Source organism: Homo sapiens, chromosome 5 (genome assembly GCF_000001405.40).
Source record: "Homo sapiens chromosome 5, GRCh38.p14 Primary Assembly".
NCBI classification, from domain to species: domain Eukaryota; kingdom Metazoa; phylum Chordata; class Mammalia; order Primates; family Hominidae; genus Homo; species Homo sapiens.
Window position 1 is genome coordinate 69,010,728 of NC_000005.10, and position 19,590 is coordinate 69,030,317.

General features: G+C 41.3%; 1 long non-coding RNA gene across 1 annotated transcript in view; it reads right to left on the reverse strand.

The window, feature by feature from the left end:
* LINC02198 (long intergenic non-protein coding RNA 2198) overlaps positions 1-19,200 on the reverse strand; it is a 62,187-nt gene extending 42,987 nt beyond the window's left edge. The window contains exon 1 of the long non-coding RNA NR_130778.1: positions 19,061-19,200. This is a non-coding gene — a long non-coding RNA (long intergenic non-protein coding RNA 2198). The remainder of the gene's footprint in view (positions 1-19,060) is intronic.
* Between the last annotated feature and the right edge of the window lie 390 nt (positions 19,201-19,590).

Sequence of the window (19,590 nt, forward strand, 5' to 3'; positions counted from 1 at the left end):
TGTGAAGAGTTTGGGAAACAATGGCCTCATTCCCCTCTCCACCTGACAGCATCTGCCTCTGTGAAGGAGTTCAGAAATGGTGAACTTTGAGTTTTCTTTCCATCCGTTTTCCTTTCTTTTTTTTTTCTGCTTTTGACCTAATTTTTTACATTTTTGAACTACAGATCACAAACTTTAAACATTAACCTTGTTCACTGGAACAGATTGCTTGAATCTAAGAAAAATTAATGATCTTTTCCTGTCAGAGCACTTCGATCAAAGCAAAACAAAGAACATAGGAACTAAGATGACAAAATCGAAAAGAAAAATAGGGGAAAATGGGAGAGGATGGAGTCAGAAGGAAGCTAGGAAAAGAGAAAGCCAGAGAAACCAAGGAATAAAAAAAAGTGGATATGACTCAGAACCATTTAAAATAATTTTTTTTAAAGTGGAGGGAATAAAAAAGATGAGAAAAACCCTAACCTAGGCTTGAGGACCTGCACTGTGGCCAACTGCTTCAACCCAACCCTGTGCACCTGTCGGGGTGGCCTCTCTGGGCCTCAGTCTTCCCCCACTGGGTGGAGTGACCCAACACATCTCCTGAGCCCCTTCAGTTCCAAGACATGTGATCTTGAGTCCTCCACAAGGGCTATGGAAGAGGTGGGAGCCACCTACTCAGTTAACACTCACATGGCAGGTGCCTACCCAGGAGGGGCATCATCCCTGTGAGGATGACAATCGAGCAGCCCATTGCAGGGGCTGGCTTTCGCACTGCCTTTGCCGATAGAGCTGTCTTCTGCTCTCTGAGATCAGAAGGAGATCTAAGTGCTGGATATAAAGCTGCCAAACCAGCAGGCCCAAGAGAGGCACTCTAAGAGGAGTATTTCCTAAAAACGCAGCATTGAAAATGACAAATCTTGACAACCCATTCCCAGAACCCATCACCTAGCCTTCCCTGGGGTTTTAACAGTTTAAAAAACAGTGAGCTGCCTATTCCAGGTGATGGTAGCAACAAGGCCTAATTCCCAGACCAATGCCCTCAGCCAAATACACCAAAGCAGAGATATAAGCTCTTCTATAACTTATTCTCTCTTCTATTTGCTGCAGGTAAGCTCCTGAAATTTTATAAAGTATTGAGTATTGAGAAATTTGGGCCAGCAGTGATTTTCAACCCTGAGACATTCAACTCAGCTAGAGAGTTGTCTGTGTGTGTGTGTGTGTGTGTGTGTGTGTGTGTGTCCCCTTCCTTATTTAATTGATCTGATGGGGGATCCAGGCATCAGCCTTTTTTAACCACTTCCCAGGTGATTCTAACACGAGGCTAGTGTGAGAACCACGGGGCAGAGGGATTGCAGTGTTTCCAGGGCGTTCCAAGTAGCAGGCAGAGCCTCAGACACATCTGCTTTACATTCCCATTGTTAAAAACTTGTCATTCTTAGCAGAAGGGAAATTCCACCCACAATAGCAGTAGATGCTGTGTACTTTGGTCTGGCTTCTCTAACCCTCATAGAACCTGCAGCTGGTACAGACATTCCCCAAGCAAGCAAGGGTCCTAGAAAGCTACCGAATTCTCGCTAAACCAGTGCCATTTTAAACTTAAAGCTGACTTTGCCACATCAGAACTTACACTAATAATCCATGTACCTCCACATAAGGGAATGTATTTCAATGCCAAGCTCTTCAGGTTCTATAACATATTCATTGACAAAGCTACATCTTAGGGTAGTAGAGAAACTAGAGTCAATGCCCATATGTTCCTGAATATTAATCTTTCTCCAGCATTCCTAGAAGTTTGCCTCTCTATGAAGTTTAAAAGAGCTATATCCAGCCAGGCACAGTGGATCATGCCTGTAACCCCAACACTTTGGGAGGCCAAGGTGGGCAGATCACCTGAGGTCAGGAATTCAAGACCAGCCTGGCCAACATGGCGAAACCCTGTCTCTACTAAACATACAAAAATTAGCCAGGCATGGTGGCGCGTGCCTGTAATCCCAGCTACTTGGGAGGCTGAGGCAGGAGAATCGCTTGAACTTGGGAGTTGGAGGTTGCAGTGAGCCAAGACCACACCACTGCACTCCAGCCTGGGCGACAGAATGAAACTGTCTCAAAAAATAAATAAATAAATAAAATAAAAATAAAAAACAAGCTATATCCATTTCTCCTGAGCACTATCTCACAGTGAATTTTTAAAGTAAATTATCTGGCTTCTGTGGCCATCAATTTTCACTTTTGAAATTTGGCAATGATAATCCTCACTGTAACCTACCAACCACATATTTGGCCCTTACAATGTATCAGGCACTCTAAGCTCTAGTATCTAGAGATGGACTAACCCTACAAAACAAGCACCATTTTTCCAAGTTCTCAATGAGATACCTCATGGCTAGTAACTGTTAGAACTGGGATTTAAATTCAAATCTGCCTGACTCCAAAAACAACAATCTTTTCACAATGCTCTACTGCCCACAGAAAATCTGTTGGAAGGTCAGTAACACAACAATAAAAGTAAATATTTGTATAGCAAATAACAGCATCACCCCAATGTTCTTTCCTACCCTGAGCCAAAGAAAGGCATTTTTAAGTCCCAGCCTTAACATCCTCAATCATGTCAAAGAAAAGTCCGTAAAGCAACCAAGTCCTCTGAGAATGGAAATTCTTCCTGGTTAATTTGTGGGGTGTGTTATAAAGTCACTACTAAATTGTTGTGTAATCAGGTCCTATAGACATTGACTCATTATGACCAGTAGAGTGGGAACCGGAAGGTCCAAGAGACAGATGGACATATTTTGCAGTCAAGTAGGAAAGAAAATTATCACCAAGCAATGCCAATTCCTATGCAGGCCAGGCTCCCTGAGAGGGAAAGGAGATTTTGAGCATATGTCAGGAATATTTATTCAGCCACATTCAAAGCCAGATACACTCAGTGCCTACCCTCCCCAGTCTAATGGTGGAGTGTTAACCAAATAATCTCACAAACATGATTATGTGAAAAGCGCTAGGAAGGAAAAGCACAGTATCTTTTGACAGCATATAACGGAGCACTTCATCTAAATGGAGGGCAGGGAGCAGGCACATATAGTGAAGAAAGCCTTCCCTGAAGAATTTTTATTTTCTGAGTAAGAGTTAACTGTTCCCAAGTTAGCTGATGCTACATTCTGGATTATGTAACAATGATGGCCAGACATGATCTACTGCCCTACCTTTATCATCATCTTCTTCTTCTTCTTCTTCTTCTTCTTCTTCTTCTTCTTCTTCTTCTTCTTCTTCTTTCTTCTTCTTCTTCTTCTTCTTCTTCCTCTTCCTCTTCCTCCTCTTCCTCTTCCTCTTCCTCTTCCTCTTCTTCTTCTTCCTCTTCTTCTTCTTCTTCCTCTTCTTCTTCTTCTTTTTCTTCCTCTTCTTCCTCTTCTTCCTCTTCTTCCTCTTCCTCTTCTTCCTCTTCTTCCTCTTCTTCTTTCTTCTTCTTCTTCCTCTTCTTCCTCTTCTTCCTCTTCCTCTTCTTCCTCTTCCTCTTCTTCCTCTTCTTCCTCTTCTTTTTTTTTAATGGAGTCTCACTCTGTCACCCAGGCTGAAGTGCAGTGGTGCAATCTTGGCTCACTGCAACCTCTGCCTCTCGGATTCAGGCAATCCTCCCACCTCAGCCTCTAGAGTAGGTGGGATTACAGGTGTGCGCCACCACACCCAGCTAATTTTTGTCTGTTTAGTAGAGATGGGGTTTCACCACGTTGCCCAGGCTGGTCTTGAACTCCTGGCTTTGAGTGATCCTCCCGCCTCGGCCTCCCAAAGTGCTGTGATTACAGGCGTGAGCCACCACACCCAGCCCCACCTCTGTCTTCAAAGCCATCAACCAGGCCCATAAGATAATGGACATGAGCCATTCAAGTTGTCTGTAACTCCTGATTTTTCTGGCCTTCTCCTCTTCAAAGGCTTGAGTTTCTAGGTTTTAGTCTTAATGACATGAATCCACACCCCTCCCTTTTCCTGCCCCCACTGTTCTCCTCTTCCTCACTCTTAACACCCAGCCTAACAACTGCATAGCCATGAGCTAACGGCAATTGTCCCGTATCTTCAAAGACAAGAATATTAGTGTTCTTTCCAGCCTTTTTGGAACAAAGAAAGTTGACCACAGCTCTCTACAAGCCAAGTGAATTGACTACATACCTATAACATTTGGTCAGCTACATCCAGCCAGGCTTGTCTTACATAAGCAAGGAAAAACATCACCATAATGTACAAGCCCCTACCTTATTGGGTATGTTATACAAACGCTGGAGGGATATTGTACTTTGAATATTTAAATCCCAGTAGAGTTGGCCGTTCTCACAGAGACAACCCAGACTTGAAGAAAGACTGTCCTTCTCTTCTCAGTTATTAGTAGGCAGCAGCCGCCTCGCCATCCCTTCCAGAGTCAGGAAAGGCTATTATCTGCCTCATGGATTTAGTGAAGCAAATAGAAGTTTGATTTCTTTTCAGATAAAAGAGAGGATGCAAATGAGAATTTTATCTTGCCTGGAGGAGTGACAAAGTAGGAGAATGAATCCTACTTGATTACAATCTTCCATCATTCTGATTTTATAATTACTGAATGGAATCAATCAGCTTTCAATTGTTACCTTGGTGAAAGATTAAAACATCATTACTTGTCCTACATATTTCACACTTTAGCAAATTTTAATAAACGGAATGCATAAGAAATGGTTATACTATCTTTCATGATATTGGGATGCTAATGACATCTCTATTGATTTTAATTCACATTTGTTGGTCAAAACGAGTCATTCTCCAGTGAGGCATAGCATCCTATAATCAACACTAACAAATGGAGACCACTGAACATTGAAATGGCCCAAATGAAATCATTAATCAGAAATACCATAAAATGATTGCCAAAAAACTAGGGAGGTCTTATCTTCCTAATGAACATCTTTTACAGTATATTGATTCATTTGTAACTTTTGCACATTGGTGATTTCACTATTAAAATATTTTTAAATACATATATAAATAGCATTTCAAAAAGGCAAAATTGGGAGCACATCAATTTATCGATGAAGGGGATCATAGGCACCTCCATATAAAAGGTGAAAACAACTCCTGAAGATCATAGAGTACAAATAACTCTTCCTTAAAACTATTTGAGTCTGGAAAATTTGTAGCCCAATATGGGAAAAGACCACACAGAATTATCAGATAACGTAATACAGAATAAGAATTAAGTGCGTGGGTCTTGTAGTTAGATGTCAGGGCTTCAAATAACTTTGGCCACTTTACGTGTGTGTGCCTCAGTCCTCTCATCTGTAAAATAGGGATAAAATAATAATGCCCACTTCAGAGTGCTGTTCTGGGGATGACATGTGATCACATTTCAGCATACTCCAGTCTGCTGAAATTTGTGAAACTGCATTTCCGCAATTAAAAACAGCATTACATTTCACATGTGTGAAATTTTGATTCTCCCAAATTCTCTGTTTACATTTTTTCCAATACTTATTCTTCTCAATAGTTAGTAAATTGGACCATACTTCCTAGGAGACTAATCAACCGTGGGAGGGTCAGGTATGCAGAGTTGAGACCTGCAAGAGGTAAAGAGTAAGGGTGATAAGGAGATGAGAGAGAGCAAACTGTTAAATGCTCAACAATGTGAACCTTTACCCCCACAGCCCCTGTCTTTAATAGTCCTATAAAAATCATGATAGGCCAGGCACAGTGGCTCACGCCTGTAATCCCAGCACTTTGGGAGGCTGAGGCAGGCAGATCACCTGATGTCGGGAGTTCGAGACCAGGCTGACCAACATGGAGAAACCCCATCTCTACTAAAAATACAAAATTAGCCGAGCGTGGTGGTGCATGCCCGTAATCCCAGCTACTCGGGAGGCTGAGGCAGTAGAATCACTTGAACCCAGGAGGCAGATGTTGCCGTGAGCCGAGATCCAGCCTGGGCAACAAGAGCGAAACTCCAGCCTGGGCAACAAGAGTGAAACTCGGTCTCAAAAAAAAAAAAAAAAAGTCATGATAAATGCCCTCTGTGGAATTCCATTTCTTGTAAAAGGTGGAAAAGGCAAAGTTTTGCTCTGAGAGAATAAAATACAGACAGCCCTGGAAATACATGAGACTGGAAACTAGGGATCCCAGCTATATAAGAGCAAGCATCTGCAGAGAGTTGCTGGAAGGGTACTGGCGGCATGTGGGCTGAGTCTGCTTGACTCTTCAGGAGACAGGCAGTGGAGGGATGACAATGCAAGTCCCAGGTGACACCACCAGGATTTCAATATAAAATCAATCCCTCAAAAGCCCCATTTTCTCAATTTAAGATTCAATGGACTTCCTTTCCATTTGAGTTTTGAAAGAACCTCATGACACCAATTCAACACACTGTTCTTCAAATTCCAGTTAAATTCATTCTGCCATCCTTTTTAATCAGCTTTTTATTATCCCACATCTTCCTTTAAGATTATTTGAAGCTATCAACTATTGAGATTTTGTAATCAAAGTGCTAGGTCAAAGCATCCCTTGTATCTGATTTAGAAAAACATTATGCAAGCCATTCAGGCCTTGACCACAATGATGACAAGTATAGCGGTTATTGTTTATGGAGCACTCATTATGAACCAGGCATCATGCTAATTGCTTTACTTACATTATTATATTTACCTTCACAACATTCAGACACAGTAGTTTCCGTTATTAGAGATGAGAGAACTAAAGATAAGAGAAGTAATTGTCCAAGTTCATAAAGTTAGTGGTGAAACCAGGATTAGTTCATTCCTTTAGCAACTATACATTAGGGGTATAATATATCAAATAAGCCACTTTAAAAATATATATATAGATTAAAGAAAAGAGAAATGCAGTAATATTTTTTAAGTATATTATCCACAAGAGCAACGTTCTCAACAAACTGAGAGCAATCACAAATAAATAGAGAGCTTCATATCAAAGACCTTGGAGTAGGTTTTATTTTTCAGAATGAACCACATCCATACTTCCTATCTGACATGCCCTTAATGTAATTTTAACTGTGCTCACATCAAGATATGGTGGTCTAGTTTCCCTTCCTTGTATCTAGGAGGGCTTATGACTCTAATGCAAGTGACACTATGTACTTCTAAGACTAGTTCATAAAAGGTTCACAGTTTCTACCACGTTCTCTTGGGATGCTGCTCTTGGAACCCAGCTACCATACTATGGCAAAGCCCAACTATCAAGAACCCAGCTTTAGATGCTCCTGCTGACATCCCCAGCTGAGGTCTCAGCCAATAGTGAGCATCAACCTGTAGACGTATGAATGAAAGAGCCTTTGGATGGCTTTAGACCGCAGCAAACAAGTTGTCCCCAGTCTGCAAGTCTTCCCAACTGAGGCCCCATTCATCGTGGAGCAGAGATGAGCTGTACCCACTGTGCTGACTCAACTCTTCTGAATTTCTGACCTACGGTATCCATGAGCATGATAAAATAGTTGCTGTTTTACAACAAATTTTGGTGGTATGTTACACAGCAATAGGATCTGGAATAGCATTCAACAAATATCATTGGTGTTTACTAATTAAGCACCAAAGAATAAAAACATAAAATTGCAGATAGCCTAGAGAGTTGTGTCCACCTTTTCCTCAACTTTGGCCAAGTTACCCTTAGGTTCTTCCAAAAAGAAGAGCCTCTAAAGCTTAATGGAGAGTTTCTGAAATATTCATTAAAATGATCATGGTGGATACTACATTAAAGTAAGAAAAAGGTTTCTGGTATGATCTTAAGTGGAAAGAAAGCAGAATACCAATTTTCCTTCATGTTATGATTACTCTGGGTAAATGTTATGTATGCACATGGAAAAAAAAGTCTAGAAGCAAATATGGAAGCATTAAGATAATTGATCTGGTATTATAGTAAAATCTTATAAATTTTTTTCTCACAACTGACATATAACTTCTGTATTATAGATGGAAAATATGTTAAAACAAAATCATCAGAGAAAGCCATTGGGCAAAGTTTCACTTTCCTCCTGGAAACTCATTCACATGACTGGAAACAACTTTCTTCATTACATGGCGCCTCTCTGCCTCACTTTCTTTTCCCATAAAATGATGATGATAATAATAATAGCACTTATTTCGCAGGGTTGTTGTGAGAAGTAAGTTAATTTGGTAAAGCCTTAAACAGTGCTTGCTGGGTGTGGTGGTGCACACCTGTAATCCTTGCTCTCCTGGAGGCTGAGGCAGGAGGATTGCTTGAGCCCAAGAGTTCAAGACCAGCCTGGGCAACATAGCAAGACCTTGTCTCAAAAAAAAGCTAGGGGGTGCTGGGGGTCAGGACACATGGAGATTAATAAACGTTAGCTTGTGTTATTCTCTAATTCAACTTCTAATAATATAGATTGCGGTTATCTCTGTTAATTCTGCCTTTAATTCCCAAACCCTACCACCAACAAGCACAAGAGGACAGGACAACTAGGAATTGGGAGATCTTCGTCCTATGTCAACTAAGGAAAGGAGCTGTGTGACCTTGATCAAGTCTCTTGGCTTCCATTTCCTCAAGTGTAAAATGAAGTTTATGCCTACTTTTCTGAGTTCTTATGAAAAACAACTGATATAAATGTGTAAGAAAAGATTTGGTCAAAGTCCAAAACACATGCTATTTGTCTTTCTTCTTATTTTATCAACTGTATTAGTTTGCTAGGGCTGCCTAACAAAGTACCACAAACTGAATGCTTACACACAGAAATTAGTTGCTCACAGTTCTGAAGTTTATAAGTTCAAGATCAAGGTTAACAGGGTTGGTAACTTCTGAAGGCTGTGAGGAAGAATCTGTTTCCTGCCTTCTCTTCTTCTAGTGATTTGTGACCATTTTTGGCATTCTTTGGCTAGTAGACACATCACTCTGATCTCTGCCTTAATGTTTACCTGATGTCCTCCCTGTGTGCCTATCTATGTACAAATTTCCCTTGATTATAAGGACACCAGTCATATTGGATTAGGGCCCACTTTAATGACCTCGTTTTAACTTGATTGGCTCTGTAAAGATCCTGTCTCCAAATAAGGTCATATTCTGAGGTACTGGGAGTTAGGACTTCAGTATATGAATCTGGGAGGGACACAGCTGAACCCATAACACCAAGGAAGACATGAGGATCTAAAATGGGTAGCGAGGTCATTTAGGGAGAGCAGGACACAAATCCAGCAGACGATGACAACTTGCTTGATGTGTAGAGAGAAATGTGTGAAACACGTGTTCTGAAATCCCAGACTAAGCAACTCTGGCTGGATCACTTTACGAACCTCAAATTCAGCCCAGATTCATAAATCCTTGAAGAAAATTCAAGCCAATTTTGGAGTTTCTGACAAGCTCCAGAGGCTGAATGGATCAGGCACAATTTCACTTGGTATTTAGGATTATTGAGTCTAACCTGAAACCTAATGCAAATTCATGGAACACAAACTCCTTACAAATTGAATAGATGCAAATACAAAGGGCTTCTGAGCCATCTGGACTGCACATGCTGAATGTTGGAAGTTTTTCCATCTCAATAACATGGGGGAGGCAGGGAGAACTAGGCTGGCAAGTTCTCCCCATCACCGACTCTGCAATGTAGTACATTTGCCACTCCTGTGAATTTGCATTATTTCAAATAGTGCAATACACAAAGTAATAATAATAAAGTTTCACTTTGTGACCAAAATTTAAAACATATGAATCTCCTTAAATGTGGAAATTTGTCAAAATTTGCAAAATTTCAAGGGGGCAGGCTGAGAAGTTTGTAAGCTGTGTTTTTGTTACTGCATTGGAAAGTGTCACTTTAACGGGTTACAGAAATACCTGCCATCGTTAATCAACAAGCACTGTTGTGCAGGCACAACCACACTTCGGCCAATGGTCTTAGTGGCCATCAGGGTCTTATTTTAAATTTCACAGTAGTTAAGAATTAAAGTCTTTTGAATAGTCTATAACAGTGTCATCCAACAGCTCATGTAAGTGATGGCCCTACTGCTGAAAAACGTGCTGGAAAATCAATAGCTGTGGACTGGAAGTTAGATGTGATAAAAAGTTATGAGGAAGGCCAGATATCAACCTTGATATGCTCTGTTGTTAAATTAAGAGGGAGCACTGTGTAAATGATGTAAGGCTGAGAAAACAAAGGCAAAAATAGACCACAATAGGTGTGGGGCTTTGCACTTTGAAGACACATCCCTTCTACTTTACTTCTATTTCTATGGGAAAATTAACTTGAAATTGTGCAAGGTTTGAATTAGGCAAGATCTTTAGGAGCATGTCTTTTGAATTAAAAGCCACCATCCCGTATTTTCTTAATAACTTTACTGAAATAGATACGTCATAAATATATATTTTTATGCCATAAAAATAAATGTATGCCATAAGATTCACTCCTTCTACATGTATAATTCAATGATTTTTTAATAAATTTACTCACTTGTGTAACCATCCACATCGTCTAGTTATATTTTTTATTTTTTCCAGTTTTTATTTTTATTACGCTAGTAAGATCTCTCAATGCCCATTTACAATTAATCCTCATTCCTTCCTCCAACCCCAAGCAACTACTAATCAACTTTTTCTCTTTTAGATTTGCTTTTTTGGACTTTTCACACAAATGGAATCCTACAATATGTGGGTTTTCTGTCTGGCTTCTCTCACTTAGCATGATGTTTTTGAGGTTGAGCATCCATGTTATCACATGTATCAGTATTTTGCTCCTTTTTGTTACTGAATAGCATTCCGTTACATGGATCCTGTAGCAGTTTTTTTGTTTGTTTGTTTGTTTGTTTTGGTTTGGTTTTTGGCTTAAATTTAGATGGCCCAAAAGTATAGCCACTTCTTACTGTGTGTCAGATGTGGCTATGAAAATGTGTGGTAGATACTAATCAAATATGGCCTCCAACAATTCTTCCCCTCTCTGTATACAGATTGAGAGGTGGAGTCTATTTCTCCTCCCCTAGAATCTGGGCTGGCCCTATCACTTGTCTTGTCCAAAAGGATGTAGCACCAGCTGGTGGGGCATGGTGGCTCATATCTGTAATCCCAGTACTTTGGGAGGCTGAGGCAGGCAGATAGCTTGAGCTCAGAAGTTTGAGACCAGCCTGGGCAACATGACAAAACCTCGTCTCCACAAAAAAATTTAAAGAAATTAGCCGGGTGTGGTGGCATATGCCTGTGGTCCCAGTTCCTTGGGAGGCTGAGGTGGGAGGATGGCTTGAGCCCAGGAGGCGGAGGTTGCAGTGAGCCAAGATTGCACCACTGCACTCCAGCCTGGGCAACAGAGCCAGACCCTGTCAAGGGAAGCGAAGGGGAGGGGAGGGGAGGGGAGGGGAGGGGAGGGGAGGGGAGGGAAAGGAATGGAATTCTGAGACTTCTAAACCCAGACCTTAAGAGAATTGCAAATTCTGCTTCCTCTTCTTAGAAGCCAGCTGTCATGCTGTAATGAAGCTGGCGCTACCCAAAAAGATATGTTGAAGTCCTAACCTCTGGTACCTATAACTGTGAGCTTATTTGGAAATAGGCTCTTTGCAGATGGAATCAAGTTAAGATGAGGTCACTAGGGTGGGACCTAATCCAGTTTGACTGGCATCCTTATGAGAAAAGGAAAGTCATGTGAAAACAGAGATGCACAGCAAAAATGTCACATAGTGACAGAGGCAGAGATGAGAGTGACACAGCTGCAAACCAAGGAATGCCAAGGACTGCTGGCCACCACCAAAAGCTGGGAGACAGGCATGAACCAATTCTCCTCCAGAGCCTTTGGAGGGAGCACAGCTCTGTTGACTCCTTGATTTCAGACTTCTGGCCACCATAACTGTGAAAGAATCAATGTCTGTCATTTTAAGCCATCCAGTTTGTGGTGTTTTGTTTGTTAAGGCAGCCCTAGAAATTAATACCCCTGTTCAGGAGCTGGGATTTTACTCTGGGTGCAAGAGAAATTCCTGGAGCTCCAAGCAGGGGTGTGGCATCATTTGATTTGCACATGGAAAATGCATGTGTGTGGTCTCAAGAAGAGCTGATCAAATAAAACAGGGAAGCCAACTGGAGGTATACAATGTTGGTGACCATAACCAGGGTGGTGACAGTGGCCTTGGTAAAAATGCACAGATTTGGAAGATATTTTGGAGACAGATCAGCATGACTTGATGGTGGATCAGAAGTGAAGAATGAAGGAAAGAGGTCTCAAGGACACATATAGATTTTTGGATGACATCTAAGGTTTTTGCCAATTCTCAGAGCTTATGGCATCCATGAGAAGAGTGTTTCTGTGTCTGGAGATGCCATAGGTGAATTCCTGGATGATTCCAGGAGTGAATGTGGGTGCATCAGAAAATTTCACCCATCTTGGCCCCACTATTTGGTTCCCACTGTGAGCCAGTGCTGGCTGGTCTCCCTCAGTCCAGCTGCCCAAAAGTAATAAATAATCCCTTCATGTTTGTCTCATCAATAAATATATTCTTTTTTTTTTCCAGAAAAAAGAGAAGAAGAAGTTGAGGCTAGACTACTGGATAAGATATCACAGGCAGAAAGCTCTGCACAATATGAGGCCATCTTGGATGTTCCAGCTCCAGCCAAGCTCCCAGCTGAATACAGCTGCATGAATGACCACAGCTCCACCACATGGAGCAGAGAAACCACCGAGCTTAGCCCAGTCAACTCACATAATCATGAGAAATAATGCATGATAGTTGCTTTGAGCCACTCCATTTTGGTTGTGTTTGTTTGTTTGTTTGAGATGGAGTTTTGCTCTTGTTGCCCAGGCTGGAGTGCAATGGTGTGATCTCGGCTCACTGCAACCTCTGCCTCCTGGGTTCAAGCGATTCTCCTGCCTCAGCCTCCCGAGTAGCTGGGATTACAGGCATGTGCCACCACACCTGGCTAATTTTGTATTTTTAGTAGAGATGAGGTTTCTCCATGTTGATCAGGCTGGTCTCAAACTCCCAACCTCAGGTAATCCGCCCACATCGGCCTCCCAAAGTGCTGGGATTACAGGTGTGAGCCACTGCATCTGGCCAGCTTTGGTTTTTTATGGTGTGTTATGCAGCATTGGTAACTGAAACATCATGATTTCACCAGTCTTTCTCCTTCCCTTAATTCTTGTTAATTATGTTCTCTTTTAATTTTTATAGTTTTATTCCATTCTATGGAGATTTCTAGTGGACCCTAAATTTAACATCACTTTCTTGGCTGTTTGTGGCACATTGAAGAGTTTTATGTCAATCTGCTTCCTGATATTCATATGCTGAAATCTTGGGACAACATTTTCTAAATGGTCTGAAGAGAATCGCCTGGAGAGCTTTATAAAAATTGATTCTCCATTCTCCCCTCCACGCCCTCACAGTGATGGATAAGAAACTGGTATCCAGCTGCTCCCGAAACAGTGTACAAGTTAATTTGATAATCTCACCAAGAAAGCTATTTCAATAACTCAATTAAGTATTTCCTGAATTTTGATTAAAGGAAAAAACAGCATGCTAAACCCTATGCATAAAGATACAAAAACTATCAAAATATAACCCTTACCCTCAAAAAGTTTATAATTAGATTGCAAAAAAAAATGCATGGCAATATGTGATTAACATTCAATCAACCCTTGAAGTTGACTAACAAATCGCCCTTCAAGTTTCACCCTCAGCATGCCCTTTGAGTTGTCCAACTCTAGGGGGCACCATTCACAAAGAAAACCACATGAACGGTGCCTCCCTAGAGCTGTTTAACAGACTGCATTCAATTGCAAAGATAAAAAGGGCTATGACTATTCCTGCATATAGTTCAAGAGTTGGAACTTGTTGCTCATCTTTGTCGATTCACATTCTCCGCCCAGCACCTGGCACAACACGGGTGCTCAATAAAGCTAAGTCAGTGAACATCACTGAGATGACAAAATTTCAATGGGCTTTGGTGGTCAAGGAAGCCTTCATGAAGGAGAGGAGAGGAGACTGAAGGAGGAGAGGAAACTGAAGTTGGACACTGGAGAAAGGGATGAAGTGAAAGAGGCATCATAGGAGCTAAATAGGCCTAATGAAGCGTTGCTTCCTTCAATGGAGAAGAAATCCTCAATGTGGAACTAGATGAATACACTGATCAGCAAATACCACTGGATTCATGCTTACCCAGGAGCCTTAAAAACTGCCTTCCTCAATTCCAGTCATCTGCATGCACCTCAGATAAGATAAAGATACAAAGAGGAAGAAAGTAAGTGCCACCATAACAACACCCCACATGGAAGGGTCTATCTCCTGCTTTGAGCAACACAGTTCTCTAGAATCACAGATCAGGGGAGTCCAAGGACTCTCTTTACAGTTTTTTTTGTTTTTGGGGGGGTTTTTTTGGTTTTTTTTGAGACGGATTCTCGCTCTGTCGCCCAGGCTGGAGTGCAGTGGCGCGATCTCGGCTCACTGCAAGCTCCGCCTCCCAGGTTCACACCATTCTCCTGCCTCAGCCTCCCGAGTAGCTGGGACTACAGGCACCCGCCACCACGCCCAGCTAATTTTTTGTATTTTTAGTAGAGACGGGGTTTCACCGTGTTAGCCAGGATGGTTGATCTCCTGACCTTGTAATCTGCCCGCCTTGGCCTCCCAAAGTGCTGGGATTACAGGTGTGAGCTACCGCGCCCAGCCTACAGCTTTTTAAATTGGAGTGGCAAGAACTACAGAGCTGCAATATTGAGCTATGTCTCCATCTCATTGTACCTCTGCTGTATTTGAATGGGAGCTCCCAAAAAATGAGACTAATCCTAATTTCTCATCTTCTGATATCATCAGAGTCTGTAGAGGACTTCAGATGGCTGAGAAGCCAAGCGAAGTCTGAAGAAGACATGTGTTTGAAGCAGGAGGCACCCAAAGATGGTCACACAACTTTAGTTGGAGCCCCCAGCACTCGATGGCAAAACATAATGCTTCCATGCTGGTTTGAGAGGCTGCTCAGGCATAGGTCAGAAGAAATGCGTGCTCAGGAAAATATGCGAATTAAAATATAAAATACATCCCCCAACATGAACCCTCTGTCAGCAGGCTGATATAGACTGCTACCACGTCATATCAGTGGCTAGACTGTTAAGTAGGTGAAGATCTAAAGCAAGGGTATCTTATTGACTCATGGGTTTACAGACCCTTCCTACAAAACCAACAAGTCCCTGAGAAGGAAAAACAAGCATAACTTTCTATTGGTCTAAGACAAAGTACAACTCAGCCATGGGTGACATTCTGTGCAAATGCCATGGACCAATTTCTACAGTGTTCATGAGTCTAGAGTGGGAGGAGTGGGTGGGAGAAGGTGGGCCCTGTGCAATTTGGATACTTCACAAATGTGAAATATTTATTTGTAATTTATTTATTATTTGTCCCAGACAAATGTGGCCAGGCCTAAGGTATTACAAATAAATATTCTAGAGAAAGTTGTTGTGTTAGGCACAGAGGTTGTGACCAGGACACCCACTGGAAGAAATGAAATGGGAAGAGAGAACCAAGCATGTATGGCTGAGCCCCTTCTGGGGACGGCATCTTTCTTTCACAGTGGCCCCTTCTTGGGAAGTAGGCATTGTCTTCCACACACAGTAAGCTGCCACCTTGCTGTGCTGGCCCAGATCTGCCCACGACTCTTTCAGTAAGTGTAAGTTTCATTCCCCAGTTACCTCTATTAGGAACAAAGCTGTTCTTCATCAATTTATTCCATGTTTCATTACCCAGGAAAGAGGGGTGTTGTATATGCTCCTTCCAAAGCCCCTAGAGTGACCTTCTGGCCCTCCCATGCCTTCTGAGGAAGAATCAGAGAAAAGACTTTGCTCTGTCTAACTTCTGGAAACTGTTGCAATGATCTCAGTGTTGGGTAAAATGAAAAGCTGGAAGAGCCCAAGAAAGGTCAAATTAATTTACTCATGAGAAAGAGTATGGAGCTCATCTGGAAAGAATATAATAGACCTCGGAGGTGAGAGGAAAAATCAAAGGGCTAGAGTTTACAGAAAAGAGGCTGCAGAGAGACATTGAGAAGCAGCTAGGGTGCTGAGGTGGCCTTCAGGAAGAGAGATCTATAAAGATGATCCCGGGTGGTGCAGTTATCCTTTGGCTCCCTCTCCAAGAGGCATCTGTCTTGATCAACATACGTTGTTTTTCAAGGTGGGTGATTTTTTCAGCCAGACTTGGATTTCCTTTGGATGTCTCAGTATGCTGAGAGTGGCGTATAGGACAGCTCTGTTTCACTCAAGTTATAATACATTGGGACTGGCTAAAAAAGATAAAGGAAAGGGAAACATTTCCCAGAGTGCTTTGCAGAACACTGGTACCCACTTAGAGATTTACAATGGATATTAACATTCCAGTCAAGGTTCTGGAAAAATGGTCAGCAAAAGAGCTTATATGTCTTTAATCAGCAGCTCCCAAATGTAATGTGCCACAGAGCTTTTTTCATGTAAGACATCTTGAGAACCCTGGCACAAAGGACAAAACAATAAGATTCAAAATTACTGCTTGGTGATATGAGGAGAGAGCACATTAGATATTATCAAAAGAAAATTATAGCATTCATATGTCTGCCTATGAAGAAACTGTTTTAACTTCAGCTTCAGTTAAAAGTTAACTGTTGGCCAGGCATGATGGTTCACGCCTATAATCCCAGCACTTTGGGAGGCCGAGGCGGGCGGATCACCTGAGGTCAGGAGTTCGAGACCAGCCTGACCAACATGGAGAAACCCTGTCTCTACTTAAAATACAAAATTAGCCAGGCATGGTGGCACATGCCTGTAATCCCAGCTACTTGGGAGGCTGAGGCAGGAGATTCACTTGAATCCGGGAGGCAGAGGTTGCAGTGAGCCGAGATCACACCATTGCACTCCAGCCTGGGCAACAAGAGTCAAACTCCATCTCAAAAAAAAAACAAAGTTAACTGTTTTAATGTTAACTTCAACCAAGAGGAACTCCTGTCATAAAAGAAATTGGATGGAGGAAAGGAAGTTGGCGGAGAGGGAGGAGGTGACGAGAAATCATCTGCCATGGCCACAAGAGAACGGGAGAGTGCAGCTCTTGCAGAAAAAGAGCTAAAGACACAAGTCTCCTGCTTGTTGGAGAGAAAAGAAGCTTTGCACAGGCAGGGCCAATGTATGCTACATTAGAGGGAAGCCTTCCATGAAATCAATAGAGGAAAACACAATACTTAAAGACTGCATAAGCAAAGATTAGAATTTATGAGTAAGGCCTTGGAAGCAAGAAAAGGCTGAGACAAGAACAAGACAATACCTACAGAAGGAAATCCAGACCAGGCCATAACTAGTCACACAAGTTAAATGCTCGTGTTCAGTTCCTCAGTGAAGTGATCCTGGAAAATAATATGAATAGCAAGGCTGACCTTAGAACTACTGTGTATCATTATAGTTTATTGTATATTGACTGCTGCAGGTGACTCTGTTAAATAACCTACATATTCTTCTCATAATAAAGTGCTTTTCTCAACCCCATAAAGTCCTGAGTTAAATAAACCTATTAGGTGAAAATGTGAATAGATCAAGCACTGTAAAAAAAAAAAAAAAAAAAAAAGTTGAAAATGTAATCAATGACATAATTTCTAAAGTGGCATCTGGCCTAAGAGAGTTGTATTCAATGAGTTCCACCAAACTTCAAGAAACAGGTGATGTTTGGGTGTTTTTCTATTTCCACAAGGCATCAAAAAAAATGCAGGTAATCTGAGGACCACCATTGGAGAACCACTGTCTTTGTAGAATGCCGCCTTAATGAAGCTTATTTTGATCTGGGTGTGTTTCAGCTATTAGAAAAGGAGGATTCGAACTCTAAACATGGAAGACAGGGCAGCAACACAGAAAGGAATTATATGAAGATCTCCTTATCAAAGCGGCCTGGCAAATAGGGCACAATGAGATGCAACAAAATTAGGCAGACCAGTCTTCCTAAAGATCCAGCTAAAACCAAAGAAGATAATTTGGAGTTGGGCCAGGGTAAGATCCAGAAACTAAGATTTCTCGGTTATTTATAGAGCAGTCATCATATTTGTAAGATGCCTATGAGATACATATATATGACAAAGGAAGGAGGTGGCTCAGGTCTGTCTATTAGGGATTCCTTCAGCAAAGTCTCAACTGGGATCAAGTCTTGTTCAAAGTAAAGCCTTCTTTCTAAATCCACCTACCTCTGTTAACTATTGTTTTCTTCTGTCTCTTCTCAACTATGCTCTTACTGAAACATCAGCTCCTGGGACATCCCTTGTCTTGTTTCCCAGTTTTGTTCCTACCTATGTTTTGCCAGGATTCAGAGGAGCTGGGTTCTAGGCTTGATTAAAATCTTTCTAATCGTGTCATCTTGTTAACATCTTGTTGGTCATCTGTTTACACCTCTTGAATATCAGATCTAGCCCAGATCTGATCCTTTCCCCCATACTCATATTAAAATGCACCCCCACCTTCGCCTGTAGAGGGCCATCCTTGCCCCACTCCACATATTTAGCTCAGGAGTTATTGTCTCCATCCTGGCTAATCAGAGTTAACCACATACTAGGAAAACAGAACTAAGAGATGTCAAGGGAATCTGGGCCCTGATGGTATCAATCGAACATCTCTTTCAAGGCACATTGAAAGCTCACTCTAGTCCTGAACTTTTCAATTCTGTGAGCCAAAACACAGAGACAGAGACAGACAGAGAGACAGATACCTTTTACTGTGTAATCCACTTTGAGTTTTCTGTCGCTTGTAATGCATCTTTCTTGGAAGCATGTTTTTCATCAATAAAACAAGGATAATACTTGCTACCAAGCTTCAGTAGGATGTAAGTATTTTGGAAAGTCTAAAGCCTATTCAAACATAAAGTATTATTCCTACTTCCTCTTTTATGCTCTTGCCTGAGTTCCTTGCATACTAATACTTTCAAAGCATAAAACATAATACTATACCAAAAGAACATTTTCATTACCTGATATTCCTGTTCTGTGTTCAGGGACTTTTGATCCCATCTGTTCTACAGAATCTTTTATATAATAGAATTCTTTGAAACCAGACCAGCAAAGTTCTGTTTCAATGAACCATTTGTTCCCTAAGCCACAAAAATAGCTCCTGCAAATAAACCCTATGTTTAAAATGGTGTTTGTGAAAACCTCATTTTACCTGTGATATATATGAATGTACTTTGGAAATAAATTTGCCTTGTAAATTTGTCATTGATGTCTAGTAAATTTTCATTACTACTAATTAGTTAAAGTATTAGTTCCTTCTGATTTCTTGATCTTGGGACTTGCTGCTCAAAAAAGGCACTGGCTTTGGGGATCCAACAATGAAAGATCTTGGGTCTTTATTCAAACAGCAGATGATTTTCTTTTCAATGCTGCTGATTTTACTTCTGTGGTTCTTTTTTCTTCATTTCTGCTTCTCCCTCCTTTTCACGACTAATTTGGCTTTGAAATTTGATTCTTTGATTTAATCCATCTGCAATATTTATTCCTCATAGCTATTATCAGTGCCTTTGCAGAAAGTCATCTGTTGCCTGAGGAATTAGAAGACAAGGAGATATTAGGGGTTTGAGTTGCACTCTAAAAAATTAGAGAACAGAAGCAATATATTGGGATGTTAATCCAATCTCAATAAAGCTGTTACTTAAAGAGAAAAAAAGCAATGAGTTAATACTGGCCGACCCCTCA